The sequence below is a fragment of the Homo sapiens genome, chromosome 14, assembly GCF_000001405.40.
Source record: "Homo sapiens chromosome 14, GRCh38.p14 Primary Assembly".
NCBI lineage: Eukaryota > Metazoa > Chordata > Mammalia > Primates > Hominidae > Homo > Homo sapiens.
Genome location: NC_000014.9, coordinates 35650833 through 35671622, shown reverse-complemented (window position 1 = coordinate 35671622; position 20790 = coordinate 35650833). Strand labels below are relative to the sequence as shown.

The window sequence follows — 20790 nt, the reverse complement described above, 5'->3', positions numbered from 1 at the left end:
ACCTTTTTTATTATTTCATATGTTATCTATTTTTAATGATACTGATTAGCTGATACTCAAGATTACATATGTGATATTCTTTTTTCCTTCTTTCCTTATTCTAAGGATATTGTCAATACAATCATCAAACACTGCTCACCTCAATTTTTTTCACTTGGTTTGCCTGGTGCCACAATGCTTATTATGGATTTTATTGTAGCAGCTGGTAGAGTGGCTTCTTCAGCTTTTCTCAATGTAAGTCATTTCCTGTTCCTTATCATATAACAAACTTTAGCCAGGATTCAACTAACAAAGTTGATAAAACATAACAAGCTGATAATCAGGAAATTTTGCAATTTAATTGGAATTGATTGCTTCTCCTACATTAAAAAAAGTAAGCAAGAAATCTGAAATATAAGAAAGCACTAAAATCAGTAAAATCTGATAAGCAGAACAGGATTTAAAGTTGAGGAAATCTAAAGAAACGGAGGGAAGAAAGCAAAGAAAGAGCAATGGGCTATAGCAAGAGGTAAGAAACAATGGTGAGTCATCATTACACAGTGTATGTGTGTATCAAATCATCGTGTTGTACACCCTGAATATATATTGTCTTTAACAATTATATATTTAAAAATTAAAAAAAAGAAACTTGGTAAGGCATCCACCATAGAAGGACATATGTCCTAGGAGCAAACTCTCTCTCTCTCTTTTTTTTTTTTTGAGATGGAAGTCTTACTCTGTCGCCCAGGCTGGAGTGCAGTGGTGCGATCTTGGCTCACTGCAGCCTCCGCCTCACAGGTCCAAGTGATTCTCCTGCCTCAGCCTCTTCAATAGCTGGGATTACAGGCAGGCACCACCACACCCAGCTAATTTTTCTATTTTTAGTAGTGACGGGGTTTCACCATGTTGGTCAGGCTGGTCTCGAACTCCTGACCTTGTGATCTGCCCGCCTCAGCCTCCCAAAGTGCTGGGATTACAGGCGTGAGCCACCGTGCCCAGCCAGGAGTAAACTCTCAAATTGCATGTGAAGATTTTTTCATATGGTCGTGGAACTGTGAGACAATGCTAAGTAAATCAGTATAAATGGAATATGTTCATCCATAAATGGCAGAGGTGAGCTAGAGAGGAAGGCAATAATGCTGAAAACATTAGATAGAAGCCTAAGGAAGGAATGAGTAACCATTGAAGGATTTTAAGCAAGGAGTGACATGATCAAATTCATATTTTGGAAGGATCACTCTGGAGCAAAGTGTAAATGAAAAATAATAATTAACTGGAAGTCTACTGTAAAAAACTAAGAGTTTTTGTGAGAAAAACATACTTGTCTAGTACTGTATAACTTGAAGAGCAGTTTAACATACCTTATTTCATTGTTTAGCTGCAAGAGTGAAAGATCAATAGTGAATAGAAGGAGTTCTATTTGGGGCCTAGTAAGATGTGTATTAGACATCCATGAGGAAGATGTCAGAAGAATAATTGCATATACTCAAGGGACATGTCAGGACTGAAAATAAAAGCTGGGCAACATTAGCTTATAGATGATATTTAAAGCCATGAAAGTGGATACAGTCACCTAGTGTAAACAGACAAAGCAGCAGCGGTATTTATAGCTGTATAACCCTGTTTTTCCAGTTCCCTGAGAACAGTAATCATGTCTTACTCATCTTGGTATCTCCGGAGCCTAGCATAGCACCATGCTTGGTCAGTTATTGAATATGTGTTCATTTAGCACCTAGTACTACTCAACATTGTACTGAGCCCTTTTGTGGTTATTAAACTTCCCCCTCCCCTTGCGTACAGAATGTTTTTGTAGGTGGAATACAGAGGGATATAGAATAAACTGGATAATACTTTGTGCTCAAGCAACATAATGTCTACTGCTGGGGATTTGGAGAAGTATATTAACAACTACAGAATGTTGGGCATCAAATAGATACCAATAGGAGGAGCACATCATAGTAGTTAAAAGCATTGTCTAGAGCTGACCTGCTTGGGTTCAAATCCTGGCTCTGCCACTTATTAGCTGTGTGACCTTGGGCAAGTTACTGAATGTCTCTGTGTCTCAGTTTCTTCATCTATAAAATAAAGATGGCCAGGCATGGTGGTTCACACCTGTACTCCCAGCACTTTGGGAGGCTGAGGCGGGTGGATCACCTGAGGTCAGGAGTTCAAGACTAGTCTGACCAACATGGAGAAACCCCATCTCTACTAAAAATACAAAATTAGCTGGGCCTGGTGGCACATGCCTGTAATCCCAGCTACTGGGGAGGCTGACACAGGAGAATCGCTTGAACCCAGGAGGCAGAGTTTGCAGTGAGCCGAGATCGCACCATTGCACTCCAGCCTGGGCAACAAGAGCGAAACTCAGTCTCAAAAAAAAATAAAGAAAGATAACCTGCCGTATAGGATTATTTTATAAGGATTTGTAACATGGTTGGAACACTATGTGACACGTTATATGTGCAATGTAAGAGTTTGTTAAAATTATTTGGTGATTCAGAGAATGGAGAGATCTTATTTGTTTAGGGATATCATGGAGGTTTCATGGAAAATATACATAAATATGTCCCTGAAAGATTAGTAGTATTTGTTTAAGTAAAAATGGAGATGAGAGACAGTGTTCCAGGCAGAGGTAAACAGGCATGAGTGAGATGTGTTCAAGGAATGACAAATAATCCATTTTGTTTAGGAGCTAGTTAATCTGTAAGAGTGTAATAGGCAAAAAGAATTGAAAGGTACTTTATTTAAAAAAAAAATCATTGAGATAAAGTATACATATCTAATTTACCATTTTTATCATTTCAATTTTTATTTTGTTTTGTTTTGTTTTGTTTTTGAGATATCAGGGTCTTGCTCTGTAGCACAGATTGGAGTGCAGTGGCACAATCGAGGCTCACTGCAGCCTTTACCTCCTGGGCTTAAGCAATCCTCCCACAACAGATCCCAAGTAGCTGAGACTATAGGCACACACCTAGAGTCCCAGGCACCATATCTGGTAATGTTTTTAACTTTTTGTAGAAACAGGGTCTCACCATGTTGCCCAGGCTGGTCTTGAATTCCTGGGCTCAAGTAATCCTCCCTGCCTTGGCCTTGTAAGGTGCTGGGATTACAGTCATGAGCACCTGAGCTATCATTTTTTAATGTACATTTTTTTTTTTTTTGAGACAAAATCTGTCTCTGTCACTCGGACTGGAGTGCAGTAATGCGATCTTGGCTCACTGCAATCTCTGCCTCCCAGGTTCAAGTGATTCTTTTGCCTCAGCCTCCCGAATAGCTGGGGCTACAGGCCCGCGCCATCATGCCAGGCTAATTTTTGTATTTTTGGCAGAGACGAGGTTTCACCATTTTGGCCAGGCTGGTCTTGAACTCCTGACCTTAGGTGATCTGCCCACCTCAGCCTCCCAAAGTCCTAGGATTACAGGCGTGAGCCACCATGCCCAGCCTTACATTTTAAATACATTTGTATTATTTTTTTCCCCCTTCTTTCCTCCTTTCCCTGCTTCCGGGCCTCTGGTAACCACCAATCTATTATCTTCATGAAATCCACTTTAGCTCCCACATATGAAAGAGAACATGTGGCATTTGTCTTTCTGTGCTTGGCTTATTTCAGTTAACATAATGTTCTCCAGTTCTACCCATGTTGCTGCAGATGACAGGATTTTGTTCTTTTTCATGGCTAATGTTTCATTGTGTATAAGTACCACATTTTCTTTATCCATTCATTTGTTGATGGGCATGTAGGTTGAGTCCATGTCTTGGCTGTTGTGAATAGTGTGTGGTAAACACAAGAGTGCAGGTATCTTTTTGATATCTTGATTTCCTTTCCTTTGTATGTATATCCAATTGTGGAATTGCTGGATCATATGGAAGTTCTATTTTTGATTTTTCGAGGAACCTCCTTACTGTTCTCCATAGCAGCTATACTAATTTACATTCCCACCAACAGTGTGTGAAGGTCCCCTTAGAAAGGTACTTTAGATCTTTGCTACCCAAAGTGTGATCTGCACACCAGAAACTTTTGGCATGATCTGGGTGCTTATTAGTAATGCAGAATCTCAGACCCCATCCTGGACCTACTTACTGAATCAGAATCTGCATTTTAACTAGATCACAAGTAAGTGGCAAAATCATTAAAGATTGAGAAGCACTGCTTTAGACTACGTTTTGGAAAGGCCTTGAATGCCAGGAATCAGATTATAATGCTATATTAGATAAACAGTTAAGTTTTGTTGTTGTTGTTGTTGTTTGAGATGGAGTCTCGCTCTGTCGCTAGACTGGAGTTCAGTGGCACGATCTCAGCTCACTGTAACTTCCGCCTCCCGGGTTCAAGCGATTCTCCTGCCTCAGCCTCCCGAGTAGCTGGGACTACAGGTGCGCCACCATGCCCAGTTAATTTTTGTATTTTTACTAGAGTTGGGGTTTTACCATGTTGGCCAGGATGGTCTCGAACTGTTGATCTCGTGATCCGCCCGCCTCAGCCTCCCAAAGTGCTGGAATTACCGGCATGAGCCACCGCGCCTGGCCACAGTTAAGTTTTTTTAAAGTAGTTAGAGAAATGATTGAATCCATCCTTTGAGATCATTAAATAAGTATTAATCTGGGAGTAAATTAATGGAAGACAAACTAGAGATGGTAAACAAGTCACAGGGTTATAGTACAATCAGAGTACTTAGACTATAAATCTCTTGGATACTAGCAAAAGTTGATAGAATTCAGAAGATTCCAATATATAAACCAATGTCATTTTTTATTAATTTACTGTGAAAACTATTACTGTTCAATGGGGTATTCCAGATGACTAGTCAGCACATTTCCTGCAGCTTTTTTCAAGATTCTGTAAGAGAATTAAGCCCTAATGTCATAAGGCATCTATTTTATGTAACTAATCCATTTGAAATGACTAATTTCTCCTTTGTGTATCTAATACTATGCATTATGTAACATCCTTGAGAAAATGTAGAATATAGTCATTTTTTGCATTTTCTGGTTCATATGAGGGATACCTGTTGAGAAAGGCTGCATAGGAAACCAAATCATTGCAAGAATCAAGCCTAACATATCTCCACAATAAGGTTAAAACAAGTCATTTCCTCTGATGGTGTTGGAAATACCCAGTCCAGGCTGGGCATGGTGGCTCACACCTGTAATCCCAACACTTTGGGAGACTGACACAGGCAGATCACTTGAGGTCAGGAGTTTGAGACCAGCCTGGCCAACATGGTGAAACTCCATCTCTACTACAAATACAAAAATTAACTATGAAGTTGGGATAGAGATCCCATGTACCTGAGACATTAAGGGGCTTGAACAGTAGATGGTGCAGAATAAATGTGACTATACAGTTGCCAGTGGAACCTACCACAGATATTAATCCTTAAAAAAAAAAGATAATTGTGTCCAGTTAGGAGCAGACATGCTAGATGACCCTTGTTGTTTATAAGTCTTTAAAATTTTTTCTGGTAGTGGTGGCACGCACCTGTAATCCCAGCTACTCAGGAGTCTGAGATGGGAGAGATGGGAGGATCATTTGACCCTGGGAGGTGGAGGTTGCAGTGAGCTGAGATTGTGCCACTGTACTCCAGCCTGCACGACAGAGTGAAACTCCTTCTCAAGAAAAAAAAAAAAAGGAGGAAACACCTAGTCCAATTCTTGCTCGTTGTATTCTTATTTTAGATTTCATTCATATCATCTCCCTTCTGTTAATGCCGTCTGCCCCCCACCTCCTTAAGCAGATAATAGAATAATTGATTTGGTTTTGCCTTTCTTAATTATGATCACATTCCAGGTCTGCTCCCATTATGTGCACATACCTGAATATTCCCAGTTACCTCATCTACCTATACAGAAAAACTCTCAGCTAATCTCTTTCATTAAATACTGATTTTTAAGATCAGTTTCATTTTTATACAATAATTTTTATTTTAAATTGGAACGGTAGATATGAGTTCACCCTGCCCTTTTATACTGCTGCCTTGTATCTTTAAATCCACATTGTTTTTAAATCTGGAAATGAGTTGTTTTGTTGAAAATCATATAATAGAGTATTACACCATTGCCTCTATTACAGTATTTATTCAGATGTGGAAATCCTCTTGGAGGTTGGTTCTTAATTTATGTGAATAGAAGTATTATATTTCTAATAGATTTGTGCTTAGCATTTTTGTTAGGTATTATTAAACATATAAATCAATTTGCAGATGTTTTAGTAAATAAAACAATATATTAGTAGGAAGATGTTGATGTTTGGTGGGCATGTAAGAAGGCAGAAGAGAAAAAAGAAATGTTCAGTGTTGATACTTCAGAAATGGCTAAATACAGCTAAGGAAAAAAGATGAAAAGTTACCTTCATTGGCAGTCCAGACAAATTCTAATGTTGCTTCTAGTAAGTGGTATAGGCAATGCTTTTCTTATGTGCATAATATCATAAAAGCCATCTAGATTGGTTCCTCTTTCATATAGTTAATGCTTTTTCTTCTTTATTCATCCTTGGTAATAAATATAATCTAGTGAAATTAAGTCATCAGCTTATTAGAACAATATGTCACAATGTGTGAGTTACCTTTAAAATTATTTATATTTTTACTTATTAGGGTGAATTGATGCTTGTAGATAAGGTATATTTGTTTTTACAGTCTTATTAACTGTGGCTGATTTGAGGAAAGCTCTGCTACTTGTTTATTGCATTTATTAACAATAACAGTAGTTTATGTGGAAAGTATAAATGGAAACTTAAATCTTTTTGTGTTTTCCCTTTCCTTTTTAAATTTTGTTTTATGTATCACTTCCCTGTCTAATGTAGTTGGATAACAAAGCAACTTTTCTGATAATTTCATAACACCAATATATTTTTAAACTTTTTAAAAATGTGATACATAGGCACCAAGAGTAGAAGCACAAGTTCTTCTGGGATCTTTGGTTTGCTTTCCCAACTTATATTGTGAACTGCCTTCTCTTCATCCCAACATTCCTGATGTTGCTGTGTCTCAGTTTACAGATGTTAAGGTAAGAAATGAGATGCTAATTTTTAGCACTTAAATGATTTTATAATCATAAAGTATATGCAATAAAATTTGTATTCTTTCTTTTCTTTTTGAAATCCACACAATTGTTAAAGAACATTAGCCATATCCTCCAGACACAAAGGCTTGAATGTTCATTTGGAGCATATCCTTTTTTGTGTTTAAAACTGCTTTAGAACCTTTTTCTTGTTATTGAACCTACTCACATGTCTACCTGTTAGGATTCATTCACTTACTGAACATTTATTGAAATACCCCATGAGCCAGATACTATGCTACTAATGTAAAGCTTCTGAGATTAAGATGGTAAAGTAAACCTGCATATTAGACTCTCTCCTTCTCCCAGTTTCTCAGTGTGATGAGTCAAACATAGTAATGGAAAACTCTGTACTGCTCTAGGAAACTATGGAGTTGGGATGGAGATCCCATGTACCAGAGGCATTTAGGGGCTTGAACAGTAGATGGTGCAAAATAAATGTGACTATACAGTTGCCAGTGGAACTTACCACAGATATTAATCCTTAAAAAAAAGACAATTGTGTCCAGTTAGGAGAAGACATACCAGATCACCCTTGTTGTTTATAAGTCTTCAAAATGTTTTCTGGTAGAAAAGCAGTCAGTGCTCTGAGCCCAGCAAGGTGCCTGTTGATAAATAATTCCATCAATAAGTTAAGACCTGTGTCTTACTGAGACCTGTCCTTACTTAACTGAATGCCTATGTATGATAAATTCCCAGCTGGGCGCAGTGGCTCACACCTGTAATCCCAGCACTTTGGGAGGCCGAGGCGGGCAGATCACGAGGTCAGGAGATTGAGACCATCCTGGCTAACACGGTGAAACCCTATCTCTACTAAAAATACAAAAAAAATTAGCCGGGCATGGTGGCGGGCGCGTGTAGTCCCAGCTACTCGGGAGGCTGAGGCAGGAGAATGGCGTGAACCCAGGAGGTGGAGCTTGCAGTGAGCCGAGATTGCGCCACTGCACTCCAGCCTGGGTAACAGAGCGAGACTCCGTCTCAAAAAAAAAAAAAAAAAAAATTCCCAAGGGTTTAACAGTCCTGAGAAGTTGTGCTTGTCACAGTAATTGCCAGATGGTCTTTGTATGTGACCTGAATTGGTCCCTAGAATTAGAAGTGTTGAGAGAGAGGAGACATAGCTCCTCAGGGGCTAAGCAGATGTGTTTTTTTTTTTGTTTTTGTTTTTTTTAAAACTTGCTTTTTCTCAAGTTTTAAAAAGTCCAGTTTATGTTAGGAATGTTGCATACACTTTCTATAGCATCCATATATCTCTTTGTTACGTTTATTATACTTGTAATTACGTGTTCAATGTCTGACTTCTACTTTAGATATATATATACCACAAGGTCTTTTTGCTATATCATCGTACCCTAACATACTGTTTGATACCTGGTATATACTCAGAAATCAATTTTTAGGCCAGGTATGGTGGCTCATGCCTTTAATCCTAGCCAAGGTGGGAGGATTGCTTGAGTCCAGGAGTTCAAGACCAGCCTGGGAAACATAGGGAGACCTTGTCTCTACAAAAAATAAAAAATTAGCTGGGCATGGTTGCACACACCTGTGGTCCCAGCTACTGGGAGGCTGAGGTGGGAAGAGCACTTATGCCATGGTTGTGCCACCGCACTCCAGCCTGCGTGACAGAGCAAGACCTTGTCCCACCCCCCCCCCAAAAAAGGAAATCATTTGTTAAACAAGTGAACTTGACTTACATATAAAATCAATGCAAATTTCCAGTGACACACAAAAAACTATATAAATTGACCCTTGCCCTTCAAAGATGTAATAGCTATGGCTTTTTTTGTTTTGTTTTGTTTTTTACTGTTCTGAAGGTACATCAGCACATCAGCAGCTATGGTTTCTTTTATTCAGGAGATTTTGAAGGCCAAGGATGAGTTGTAGTTTTAATTTATTAATGCAGTTTTGAGTGAGTTAGGGGTTAGCCTCGCCTACTATATACTATCCGCATCTGCATTTCAGAGTGGCCTTGTTCTCTGTTGGCCCTTGTGTAGGCAGTAATGGCAGAAGTGATTAAAAACAACAACAAATCTCCAAAGTAAGATAAATTTTTTTGTATGAAAAACAAATCTCCAAAATTAGGGCCAATTCTAATAATAATGAAGAAAGCAAAAAGTAATCACTGTTCTTAGTCAGAAAATGAAGATTTAAAGGGGAAGTTACACACCATGGTTATCATTCGATTTTTACATTTTCACCAAAATCAGATTCCATATACTCTATAAACTACAGCCACATGGAACTTACCATGGTGTTTCTTGGTTCTATGCTTTGGAAAAACTATTTTCTCCTACTAAAGTGTCATGTATGTATAATTCTGCTCTCCTCTTCTTGCCTCTCTTTATCACCCCAAACACATAGAATATAATTCCTGACTTTGTCTTTCAAAATCCTGTTTATCTAAGACCCCTTTGTGAAGTCTTTTATGACTTCTCAGATGAGCTGTTTGCTCACACAGAACTTTGTACATATCACCTTGTTTGATTTTTTTGTTTTTACAGTTCACTCATTTAATAATGTTTAGTATAGTCACAGAATTGTGCAACCATCATCACAGTCAATATTAGAACATTTTCGTCATCACCAAAGAAACGCTCGTATACATCTCCCTACCCCAAACTCTTGGTAACTCAGATTTATGTTCTGTCTTTATGGATTTGCCTGCATATTTTATATTACATGATCCTGTATTTTAATTGTTTGTTTACAAATCTCTCTCTCTCCCTGGACTGTAAACTTCTTAAGGATAAGTACAGTGTCTTAGCTAACTTCTTGTCTCCAGCCCTTAAGACAGACTATATTACATAGAAAGCTCAAATTCCTATCAATTGGACTAGGTGCTGAGTTTACAAAGTTGAAGGTTGATCCTCTTAAGGAACTTACATTGTATATGACTTAAGGAACTTACGTTGTATGACTGACAAATGCTTATTGAATGAATGTATGAATGATTTTTTAAACCAATGAACAAAATTCTTAATCATCAAATCTAATGGCATTCTTGTTCTCCTGAGCCATTATAATATTTGACCCTGTTGATGTTTCTGTCCTTTTCTGAATGTCTCTTTATCTTTTATTGCACAAATCTATCTTGATTTACTTCTTGCCTAAGTATTCTGACTCCTTAATAGACTAATTTTGTTTTCTCTGTTTGCTAAACATACATCCACTTCAATATTTTACCCTTGTATTTGTTCTTCGTTTTCTCCCCTTTGAATATTTTATTCATTTACATAATTTTAACTAATATTTTAACTTGTTTCAAAATTCATTGTCATATTTTACAAATTATTAAGGATGAATATTCTCCCTTAGCTTTATTGAGGTAAAATTGACAAAAATTTCACATATTTAAGGTGTACAATATGATGTCTTGATAACACGTATACAGTGTGGTAAAGATCAATCCAAATAACATATCCATCACCTCACATGGCTATCTTTTTTTGGTGAGAGGGAGTAAAAGAAACCAAGATCTACTGTCTTAGCAGGTTTCAAGTGTACAGTACCAGTACCTGTAATCACTGTTAATTGTAGTCACCATGCTGTACATTAAGTCTCCAGAATTTAGTCATCCTGCGTATTTGAAACTTTGTACCCTTTACTTATTTTCCTGTTTCACCCACTCCCTAGCCCCTGCTAACTACCGTTCTACTCTCTGCTTCCAAGACTTCAACTTTTTATATTCCACATGTAGGTGAGAACATGCAGTATTTGTCTTTCTGTGCCTCACATATTTCACATAGCATCATGCCCTCCAGGTTGATTCATATTGTCACAAATGACAAGATTTCCTTCTTTTTAAAGGCTGAGTGGTATTCTATTTTATGTGTATTCATGTACGTGTGTGGGTGTGTCACATTTTCTTTATCCATTAGTCCTTCAAGGGACACTTAGGTTTTTTCCATGTCTTGGCTATTGTAAATAATTCTGCAATGAACATAGGAGTACACTTATCTCTTTGACATGCTAATTTCATTTCCTTTGGATATATATACCCAGAAGTAGGATTGCTTTGGATTATATGGACATTTTAATAATTCTGTAATCTGTGGACACAGATATGTTTCTATTTATTTCTGTCTTTTTCTGTTTCTTTCCTCAGTGTTTTATAGTTTTCCGCGTACAGGTCTTTTACCTCTTTTGTTATACGTATTCCTAAGTATTTTGATGTTTTCGATGCTATTGTTAAATCGGATTATTTTCTTAGTTTCTTTTTCAGATAGTTCACTGTTAGTGTATAGAAACACAACTGATTTTTGTATGTTTTGTTTCCTGCTACTCTACTGACTTTATTAGTTCTAACAGTTTTTTGGTGGAGTCTGTAGGGTTTTTTATATATTAGATTATGTCATCAGTAGACAGAGACAGTTGTAAAAGGAAGAATGGATGCCTTTTCTTTTTTCTGCCTAATTGCTCTGGCTAGGACTTCCAATACTATGTTGAATAGAAGTGGCGAGAGTGAGCATCTTTATCTTGTTCCTAATCTTAAAGTAAAACCTTTCAGCTTTTCGCTGTTGATTATGATGTTATCTATGGGCTTGTTATGTTTCGATACAACTTCATTTGTTGAGTTACAACCTCATTTGTTGAGTTTTTATCATGAAAGGATGTCGTATTTTTCATGCAAAAAAATTTTATATTTTATTATGAAAGGATATTCATACCTTTGAGCTATGTATTCTACTTAAGTGCTTTTTCTTCACCTATTAAGATTTTTATCCTTTGTTCTGTTAATATGATGTATTAGTTTTATTGCTTTCTATATGTTGAACCATCCTTGCATCACAGTGATAAATCCTACTTAATTATGGCATGTGACCTTTTTAATGTGCTGATGAATTTGGTTTGTTAGTATTTTATTGAGGATTTTTGCATCTATATTCATCAAGGATATTGGCCTGTAATTAATTTTTTTTTTCTGGTAATGCCTTTGTCTGACTTTGATGTCAGGGTAGTGCTGGCCTCTTAAAATGAGTTTTGAAGTATTCACTCATCTTCAATATTTTGGAAATGTTTGAGAAAGATTCTTCTTAAATTCTTTATTTGAAATATTTTGTAGAATTCACTGGTGAAGCCATCTGGTTCTGACTTTTAATGATATTTCTCAAAATCTTAAAAATCTTCATACCTATGAGCTATTAATTCTACTTTAATTACCTGCCTTTATCACTCTTCTAATCAGGAAGAAATGTTATTTTTTGAACGTATGCTTTTGGCTATAAATTTCAGAAACTTTTATTTATTTAGCTACTTTTATAAATAATATTGGTCTCTTTATTGAAAGTACATACATGAGAACAAAGACTGCTTTAATAACCACTTAATAAATATTTGTAGAATGAATGAGTGAAATCTCAGTCATTGCCGTTAACTATTTCCCCCTTATTTTAGGAACTTATAATCAAAACTGTATTAAGCTCGGCAAGAGATGAGCCCTCTGGTCCTGCACGGTAGGTCGGATATTCTTAGACTGAGTATAACTATTTTGTGTTTGGAAGTTTAGAAGTTGACTGAATTTTTATAGCAGCCCAGATTGTTTTAGATACATAAAAGCCATTCTGAATTACAATTTTAAGTTACTTGAATAATTAAGTATTCTTACTTTTTTTCATGATTTAAATACTAACCTTTCTTCATAAACAGAATCCTAGTCACCTTTTTCAGTAACTTCACTCTTTATCTCTAAAATGATTTGTTTTAATTTTATTTTATTTAAGTACATTTTGTTTATTGTTCAGTTATATTTGTCAATGTCTTTTATGCAGTACCTTGAAATGCAGTAGCAGGTACCCAATGAATTTTTGTTAAATTGAATTAAAATAAAATATTTTATTATAGAAAGTAATATATCTAAGAAAATAGTATATTTTAATATTTATAAATATTTGATCAAGATTTTTAAAAATAGAATATGTCATAGTTTTAGATTTTTTTCTAAATGTCTTAAGAAATAAAAGCTGACATTTTCTCTGTTTTACAAAACCTTTCCAAAAAAAGATTGAGATTTTAATTAGCAGGTTGCTAGTAGCACACCATGTTTCTTCTCTTCCCCAAAATAACATTAAGTCATATTTTATATTCTTGATGCTAATTCTAATAGTACGTCATTTGCTACAATATTGGTCTGTGCTACTACTCCTCAGATCTACATCTCTGCAAAGCTCCTGTTTTCCAATCATCTACACATTTTTTGACCCAAAGTTCAAAAGTTACAGATCATGGCTTTGACTATTTGGATTCTTATTCTAATTTAAATCTTTTTCCAGCAAATGAAAATAATGTACAGTGAACCATTTGTTTAAATTAAGACATAGCTCCAGTTTTTAAAAATTTAATTGTATATTTTTCTCAATAGCCAAGCTAACTAAAAACAAATATATTTGAGAAAATTGTTCTTTTACGCTAATCCCAATTAAGTTTACAAGGATTTTCGTATAATATTGTTTCATTTAATTCTCATCACGATTTTGAGAGTTTAATAGAATCACCCTCTTCTTCCAGTTTTGCTAGCCAGATACTGATGCTTAGAAAGTTAACAGTAAGTCTCTGATAATGCATAGCTGGTGGGACGGGGGATGTAGGCAAGCTAGCTAACATTTTTAAAGCCCTTTGTATGTGCTTGCTAGGCACTGTTCTAAGTGCCTTATATTTATTATCTCATTGAATTTTGTGATACCTCTATGAGACAGGTATAATTTTCATCCACCTTTTAATAGAAAAGAAAACTAGAACCCAGGGAATTTCAATAATCTGCCCTGTCATCTAGATATGACAGAACCCTGGCAGTTTGTCTTCAGAGGCTTTTTAGATGCACAATTAATAAGTGGCAATACCAAGTTTGACCTTAGTGCTTAAGACTGTAGATCTTTTGCTTTTTTTTACCAAAAAAAAAAAAAAATATATATATATATGTTGCTTCTCAAGTGGAAGAATGTGGAAGCCTAAAACGTAGCTGTCTAGAGGTAGACCTGGAAATCATTAACACAACAGCTTGTGTTATGGAGAATATGGAAAAACCCCAGAAGTTGAATATAAGCATTGTCTCAACTTGTTTTTCTATACCTTTTTAGTATATGTTTTTTTAGAAACATACTCCCAGGCCAGGCGTGGTGGCTCGTGCCTGGAATCCCAGCACTTTGGGAGGCCGAGGAGAGTGGATCACCTGAGGTCAGGAGTTCGAGACCAGCCTGGCCAACATGGTGAAACCACGTCTCTACTAAAAATACAAAAAATTAGCCAGGTGTCGTAGCGTGCCCCTGTAGTCCCAGCTACTCAGGAAGCTGAGGCAGGAGAATTGCTTGAACCGAGGAGGTGGAGGTTGCAGTGAGCCGAGATCGCGCCACTGCACTCCAGCCTGGGCAAGACAGAGTGAGACTCTGTCTCAAAAAAAAAAAAGAAAAAAGAAAAAGAAAAAAGAAACTTAATACCCCCAGTCTGCACAGGAGCAGAGAGTTGAGCTATATGCTGGGAATAATCTAGATTATTTTGACATCTTGTGGAGGGGGGGTGTAGGAAACTCTACATGCAAGAAAAAAATATATATATCCTTTCTTATCTCCTCTTGCTACAATAAAAATTGTTCAGCATTTGTGTTCTAAGTCTCTGCCTTTAGTTAGCTGCATCCACGGAGAGCTTTGCTTCACTTGAGAGTTTATTGTTGCTTTAGGATTATAGATGTTTCCATAGCTAAACCCGAAGCTTGGTTATTTAGTGCTACAAATATTACCTAGGATTTATGGGTGAACAACAATAGGGAAAAAATAAAGTAGTAGAGTTCATCTAGAAGACTTTCAGGTAATTTTCATAGTAAACAGTTTGGTAGCCTTAACACTCTAGACTGAAAGAAGAGACTTAAGACCTTCTGATCTGCTGTGTTAAGGAAGAAGAATCTGCATTGAATTTTTCTGAAGTTTAGCATTCCACTAAAATTAAGAATATCAGTATCGGGACATGGCATATATAACAGGATACTAGAAGAAGGTGACTGTTTTGATACTTAGAACCATTATACATTTTATCAGAAGCTTAAACTTGAACACACTAATAGAATCCTTACTGATTCTAATCATAAAATAACTCTCTTCAAGCTGACACCCAGCTGAAATTATATTGCTACAGAAATGAAGCTTTGCAATACATTGGGGAACAGGATAAAAATTCTACAAGTTCTGTTTCTGTTGGATTTTAAAATAAGTTACATAAATTTTATGTTCTCAATTTGTTTTAAAACAATTTGTAGCTAGGTGTGTTAAATTTAAAAGATAGAAAAATATTTAACATATTCCATCAGCTTCATGTTTTTACTTAAGTTCATTTTGCTGTTATCAGTCAATAAAATTACACTTTCCATTTTGAAAGCAGGTTACATTTTGTTTAGGAAGCTTGATAGCAATGTCAGTCTAACAGACTAACATGGATTTTTAAAAAACATGTTGTGTGGTATCCCAGCCTGTAGTCTTCTTAGTAAATTATAATAGAAAATTAGGCTCAGAAGTTTTGGGATTCTGCTTTCTTCATACTTTCTCTTCTTTGGTTACCAGTTAATGTATAGAGTAACAAATTCATTAATTCATTTAAAATAGTGCATGTTCATTCTGTGTCAGTTGATTGTGGGTCATGTTTGTGGTGGTGGTTTCATTTTATGTAACCGTTGTTGTTTGCCTTTTTTGCAGATGTGTAGCACTTTGTAGTTTAGGTATTTGGATTTGTGAAGAACTAGTCCATGAGTCTCATCATCCTCAAATTAAGGAAGCTCTGAATGTGATTTGTGTTTCCTTAAAGGTAAAGAAAACTGTTTAGTGAAATATATTAAGATAGGAGAGAATGCATATTTTTTTCTCCAAATATTAATGGTATCTTGTGTAACATTTAGTAAATGTTTTCATTACTTTATTATTCTATTATTTTCTTGATCCTGACTCATTCCTTAAAAATTGTTCTGTTTCTTGAATTTAGGGTATCTTTATGGTGACCCATTTTTATCTCAACTTTTTATGTATTTTAGCTTTGTCCCTAAACTATATATGGTAGACATCTAAAAAAGGAAACCCACCATTTAAAACATATATAGGGTTTTTCTGGTTTTTTTTTAACTAGTATTTTTGTAACTTACTGTTCTTTGATCTTTATTACCACTCCCTGAATTCTTGAGCTGTTCAGTTTTTTTGCTTTATCTTTTCAAGTTATGTGCCTTCTTTGTAGACAGACAAGATTTTTTCAGTAGTAATAATGTAATTATTTGGAGAGTCTGAATGAATAAATGAGTACTTTTTGTTTATGAAAGGATGCATGATATTATTGTTGTTTTAAGACTTGTAAAACCCACAGCACCTGTATAAGACTCTAAACATACAAAGTAGCTAATAAATATTTTTAAATAATAGTTACATGACAGATATTTCTAAATATTTACTATGAGGCACATTGCTAGACAGTGAGGGATAACAATAGGAAAAAATTGTAAATACTAGCTTCAAGATATTAATAATAGCTGAAAAAGATTAAAATGAGAATAATAAAACATAAAAACCTGAGAGTACTAAATGGGTATATAATATAAACTGCGTGTATAATATAAACTGCTGATTCAGTTTGGAAGAAACAGAAATCATTTTGACTTAGTTATCAGAGAAGACTGGAAAAGAGGAGACACATTGGGGTTTGAAGTGTGGGTGAAATGTGGACGTAGAGAAGCATGAAAAGTTTGTCTTTATGCCATTGGGGAGTCCTCTGAGTTTTAAGCATAATGTCAGGATCATAACAGTGCTATAGAAGATTAATTTGGAAGTGTGGTGAATAGTTGATTGGAACAGGGCAAAGATTGATAAAAAGAATAGTGGTTTAGAGGCCACTGCATAAATCCACATAAGAGAAAATGCAACAAAACTTTAATGAGGACAGTCAAACATTACAAAGGAAAATTAAAGTTGTATGTGTCTTTGGAATGTGTTGTGATTTTTTTTATTTTGCAGCTAGAGATTTATCTTAATCACCTATAAATGTAGGATTTATAATCCTACAAATGTATGAAATGTAAAAATTTTCAGCAGATAATACATTGATGAAAAGTTCATCATGAAAATTTTTAAAACTTTTTTTTTATTATTGCAGTTTACTAATAAAACAGTAGCCCACGTAGCTTGTAACATGCTTCACATGCTGGTTCATTATGTACCTAGACTTCAGATTTACCAGCCTGATTCTCCCTTGAAAATTATTCAAGTAAGTAATTTCTCATTTATTTATTATGACCTTGTTAAATTTTTTTAGATTTGGATACTTTGAATTGTAAAATTATTTAATAGTTTTAAAATTTTTTTGCATAGCTAAATAATGGCTACCCATCATGCTTTTTTGTGGTATCAAAGTTCATGATAGTTCCCTTGTCTTTTATGTTAGAAGATTGCATTCCTGGTTTTGGACAAAGTAAAAGCACTAGAAACAATTTATTAGGCCAGCCTGGTGGCTTATGCCTGTAATCCAGGCACTTTGGGAGACTAAGTTGAAAGGATCGATTGAGGCCAGGACTTAGAGACCAGCCTAGGTAACATAGCAAGACCCTGGCTCAACAAACAGTTAAACAAAAAACAATTTATTAGTTGTAGTGAAAATTAAATGCTATGTGTAAACTTATGTCATCGTCTTTATAAACATGTATGTTGCTTTATTCCCTCTTAAGTAGGGAAAACATACCATCCAGTTACCACAATCAGGTCATTATTTTTTTTCTTTCCTCTTTAGCCAGTCATTTGTGAATTTTTGTTCATTCTAATTCGGTGTCTCCTGTGCTTCCTGCAACACCTGACGTATTTCATTCCTTCATTATTTCTTTCTTGAGATATTGCTGTTGCCTTCTCCTGGTTTGTGTGGTCTTGCTCTTAAAGTCATCATTCACATTTACATGGCTCTTACCATATCACATACCCCCACAAAAAAAAAAAATCTCTGATTTTCCTTTGGCTATAAAATAAAGCCCAAATTCTTTAGCTGTGAATTCAGGGCCTTCACAGGAGAACCCAACTGGTTTTTTAAGAATCATGTACAGATTCCTTTGAAATGCCATGTTGTTCAGGCAACTGAGTCTGCTTGTCATCACTTAAACATACCCCTGGCTTTCTTCCTCCTAGCTGAAATGCTTTGCTTCTCTTCTCTAGTGCCCTCATCTTTCAGTGATTGGCTTAAATACCATCTCCTCAAAAAATAAAAATCGCTATCTGCTCTCCCTAACCAGAATTTATCATTCTTATCTTCCTATCTTTATAACATTTTTAGGACAGATGGGAACTAATATTTATTAAACACCTACTATGTACCAGTCACCTTTTCATATGATATCTCATTTAATTCTTAGAAGTTTTTTGAGATAGATTATTCCCTTCCCTGTCCCCAATCTCCCCTCCTTATTTAAGATGAGAGAACTGAGGATTTAATAACTACATAAGAGTCATAAGCCAAGAGAACAGGACTCAGACCCAGGTCTGTAAGATTCCAAAGTTCATGCTTTTCCCACTCAGTCATCTTACCAGACTCTATTACAGCACTAAATGTAGTAAGTATCGCACTAGTGAGTAAAGCCTTTTTCTGTATAAAGTATATTTAGAGGAATTTTTCTACTTACTACATTGAGGCAATAATTTCTAAAAAATGTAATAGCATACAATACAGCTAAAATAAAAATACAATAAATATATACCTATACATTTTTAACATGCACATAAAAAATTAAATAAGACTAAATGATTTCCAGGGTAAATGATAACACTGTATATGAAGATTTTGCCTTTTTTTAAATAATGTCTTTTTCATTTACTTTGTATTCTGTACTTTATATTTATTCAAATAATATTCAGTGTATAATATATGTTAATTTAAAAAGCCACATTTGGCTGGGCACGGTGGCTCATGCCTGTAATCCCAGCACTTTGGGAGGCTGAGGTGGGCGGATCACCTGAGGTTAGGAGTTCGAGACCAGCCTGGCCAACATGTTGAAACTCCGTCTCTACTAAAAATACAAAAATTAGCTGGGCGTGGTGGCCCACACCTGTAATCCCAGCTACTCAGGAGGCTGAGGCAAGAGAATCACTTGAACCCAGAGCTGAGATTGCTCCACTGCACTCCAGCCTGGGTGGCTGAGTGAGACTCCATCTCAAAAAAATAAATAAATAAAAAGTCACATTTTTAAAAAAGCCTTATATGTGTGTGTGTATATATATATATATATATAAACAAAAGGCCTGGAAAGGCAATAGAGTAGATTTCTTCAGGTGATAGGATTACAGTGGTTTTTTGTTGTTTTGAGACAGGGTCTCTGTCGCCCAAGCTCCCAAAGTGGGTTTGAGCCACCGTGCCCAGCCTATGATGGTTTTTATTAGTCTTTTTCTTATCTGTGTCTTTTAATTTTTCTATAATGAACATATATTTTCTGTGTGTTTGTACATAGTGATTTACCCCCTTGAATTGGGAAGAAATCCATTTATGGTTGACAGAATATGTATAATTTTGGTTCTGTACATGAGGATTATAAATAATTGATAGTTAACTATACTTGAAAAGCTTACCTATTAAACATTACTTTGAAATAACAGTGTTAATGTGTTTAGAATAAATTTGCAGTAGTAGGTTTTGTATCACTTCAGCATTTAACAATCAAGTTTTAGGATGTACCATTAATTTGACATATATAGAGCTTTTAAAAAAATTTTTTTTTGCTTACAGATCCTAATAGCTACCATCACCCATCTTTTACCAAGTACAGAGGCTTCATCTTATGAAATGGACAAGAGGGTAATTTAAATTTTGTTTGATGATTAGTATGTGGTTATTTAGTAAAATATTTGCATTTCAAAACTTTAAAGGTATGTATATTTACATGGTAAAAATTTATCCTTGTTCAGAATCTACTATAATGTGAAATGCCTTTCTGTTATTTAAGTATAACTAAATTATATTTTGGTTCACATTTCATTGCCATTTGATAAAATCTTTGAGTCTCAAGATTGTAAGGAACCTTAGAGGACATTCTGTCCACCTCTATTTCATTACATTCTGCCAAATTGTGTTCTTACCTTTGCCTGAAGATTGTTAATTCTGAGGAGTTAATCACCTCTAAAGGCAGCCACTTGTTTTTGTATAGATAGAAAGTAAAGATAAAATATATAGAGATACGTCATTTAAAAGAAGACATCTCCTGTGTCTGCGAAAACATTCTACTAGGTGACATTTACCTCAGTAAATTCATTATGAGGGTTCTTTAATTTTTTCAGATATTGTATTTACCAGTTCTAGAGTTACTTTTTGTTTTGTTTTTAAGTTTCCATATCTTATCTGAAATTCTGCATTTCTTCATCAATTATATACATCTTCTCTTATAGATACTTTAACATATTTATAATAATTAAAATAGAGTCCTTGACTACTAAATCCAGTATCTGGGTCATCACTAACTCCGTTTCTATTGAGTTTTTTTCTTTTGACTATGAGTTTCATTTTCCTGTTATTATGTCTATTTTTTAATTATATGCCTGACATTATACATAAATGTTGTAGAGACTCTAGGTCGGTGCTGCTCACTATGGTAGCTACTAACTGTGTATTGCTTTCAGTTGACACTAAATTTAGTTTAAAGTTCACATGAAAAATGTAATTCCTCGTTTGCAAATATCAAGTGCTCAATAGCCATATGGGCAAATATAGACCATTTTCATCATTGCACAAAGTTCTGTTAGACAAGGCACAAAGTTCTGTTAGACAAGGCTG

At 35.3% G+C, this 20790-nt stretch overlaps 1 protein-coding gene across 23 annotated transcripts in view; it reads left to right on the top strand.

The window, feature by feature from the left end:
- Nucleotides 1-20790, top strand: part of RALGAPA1 (Ral GTPase activating protein catalytic subunit alpha 1) — a 270940-nt gene that overhangs the window by 137673 nt on the left and 112477 nt on the right. For 22 of the 23 annotated variants that reach the window (NM_194301.4, NM_001346246.2, NM_014990.3 and 19 more), the window contains 6 exons: nucleotides 106-234; nucleotides 6856-6981; nucleotides 12427-12485; nucleotides 15708-15816; nucleotides 17146-17256; nucleotides 19750-19818. In NM_194301.4, coding sequence (NP_919277.2) covers nucleotides 106-234; nucleotides 6856-6981; nucleotides 12427-12485; nucleotides 15708-15816; nucleotides 17146-17256; nucleotides 19750-19818 — 603 coding nt within the window. Of the gene's footprint in view, nucleotides 1-105; nucleotides 235-6855; nucleotides 6982-7075; nucleotides 9658-12426; nucleotides 12486-15707; nucleotides 15817-17145; nucleotides 17257-19749; nucleotides 19819-20790 lie in introns of those variants that run through there. The other variant, XR_007063998.1, reaches the window with a different exon arrangement.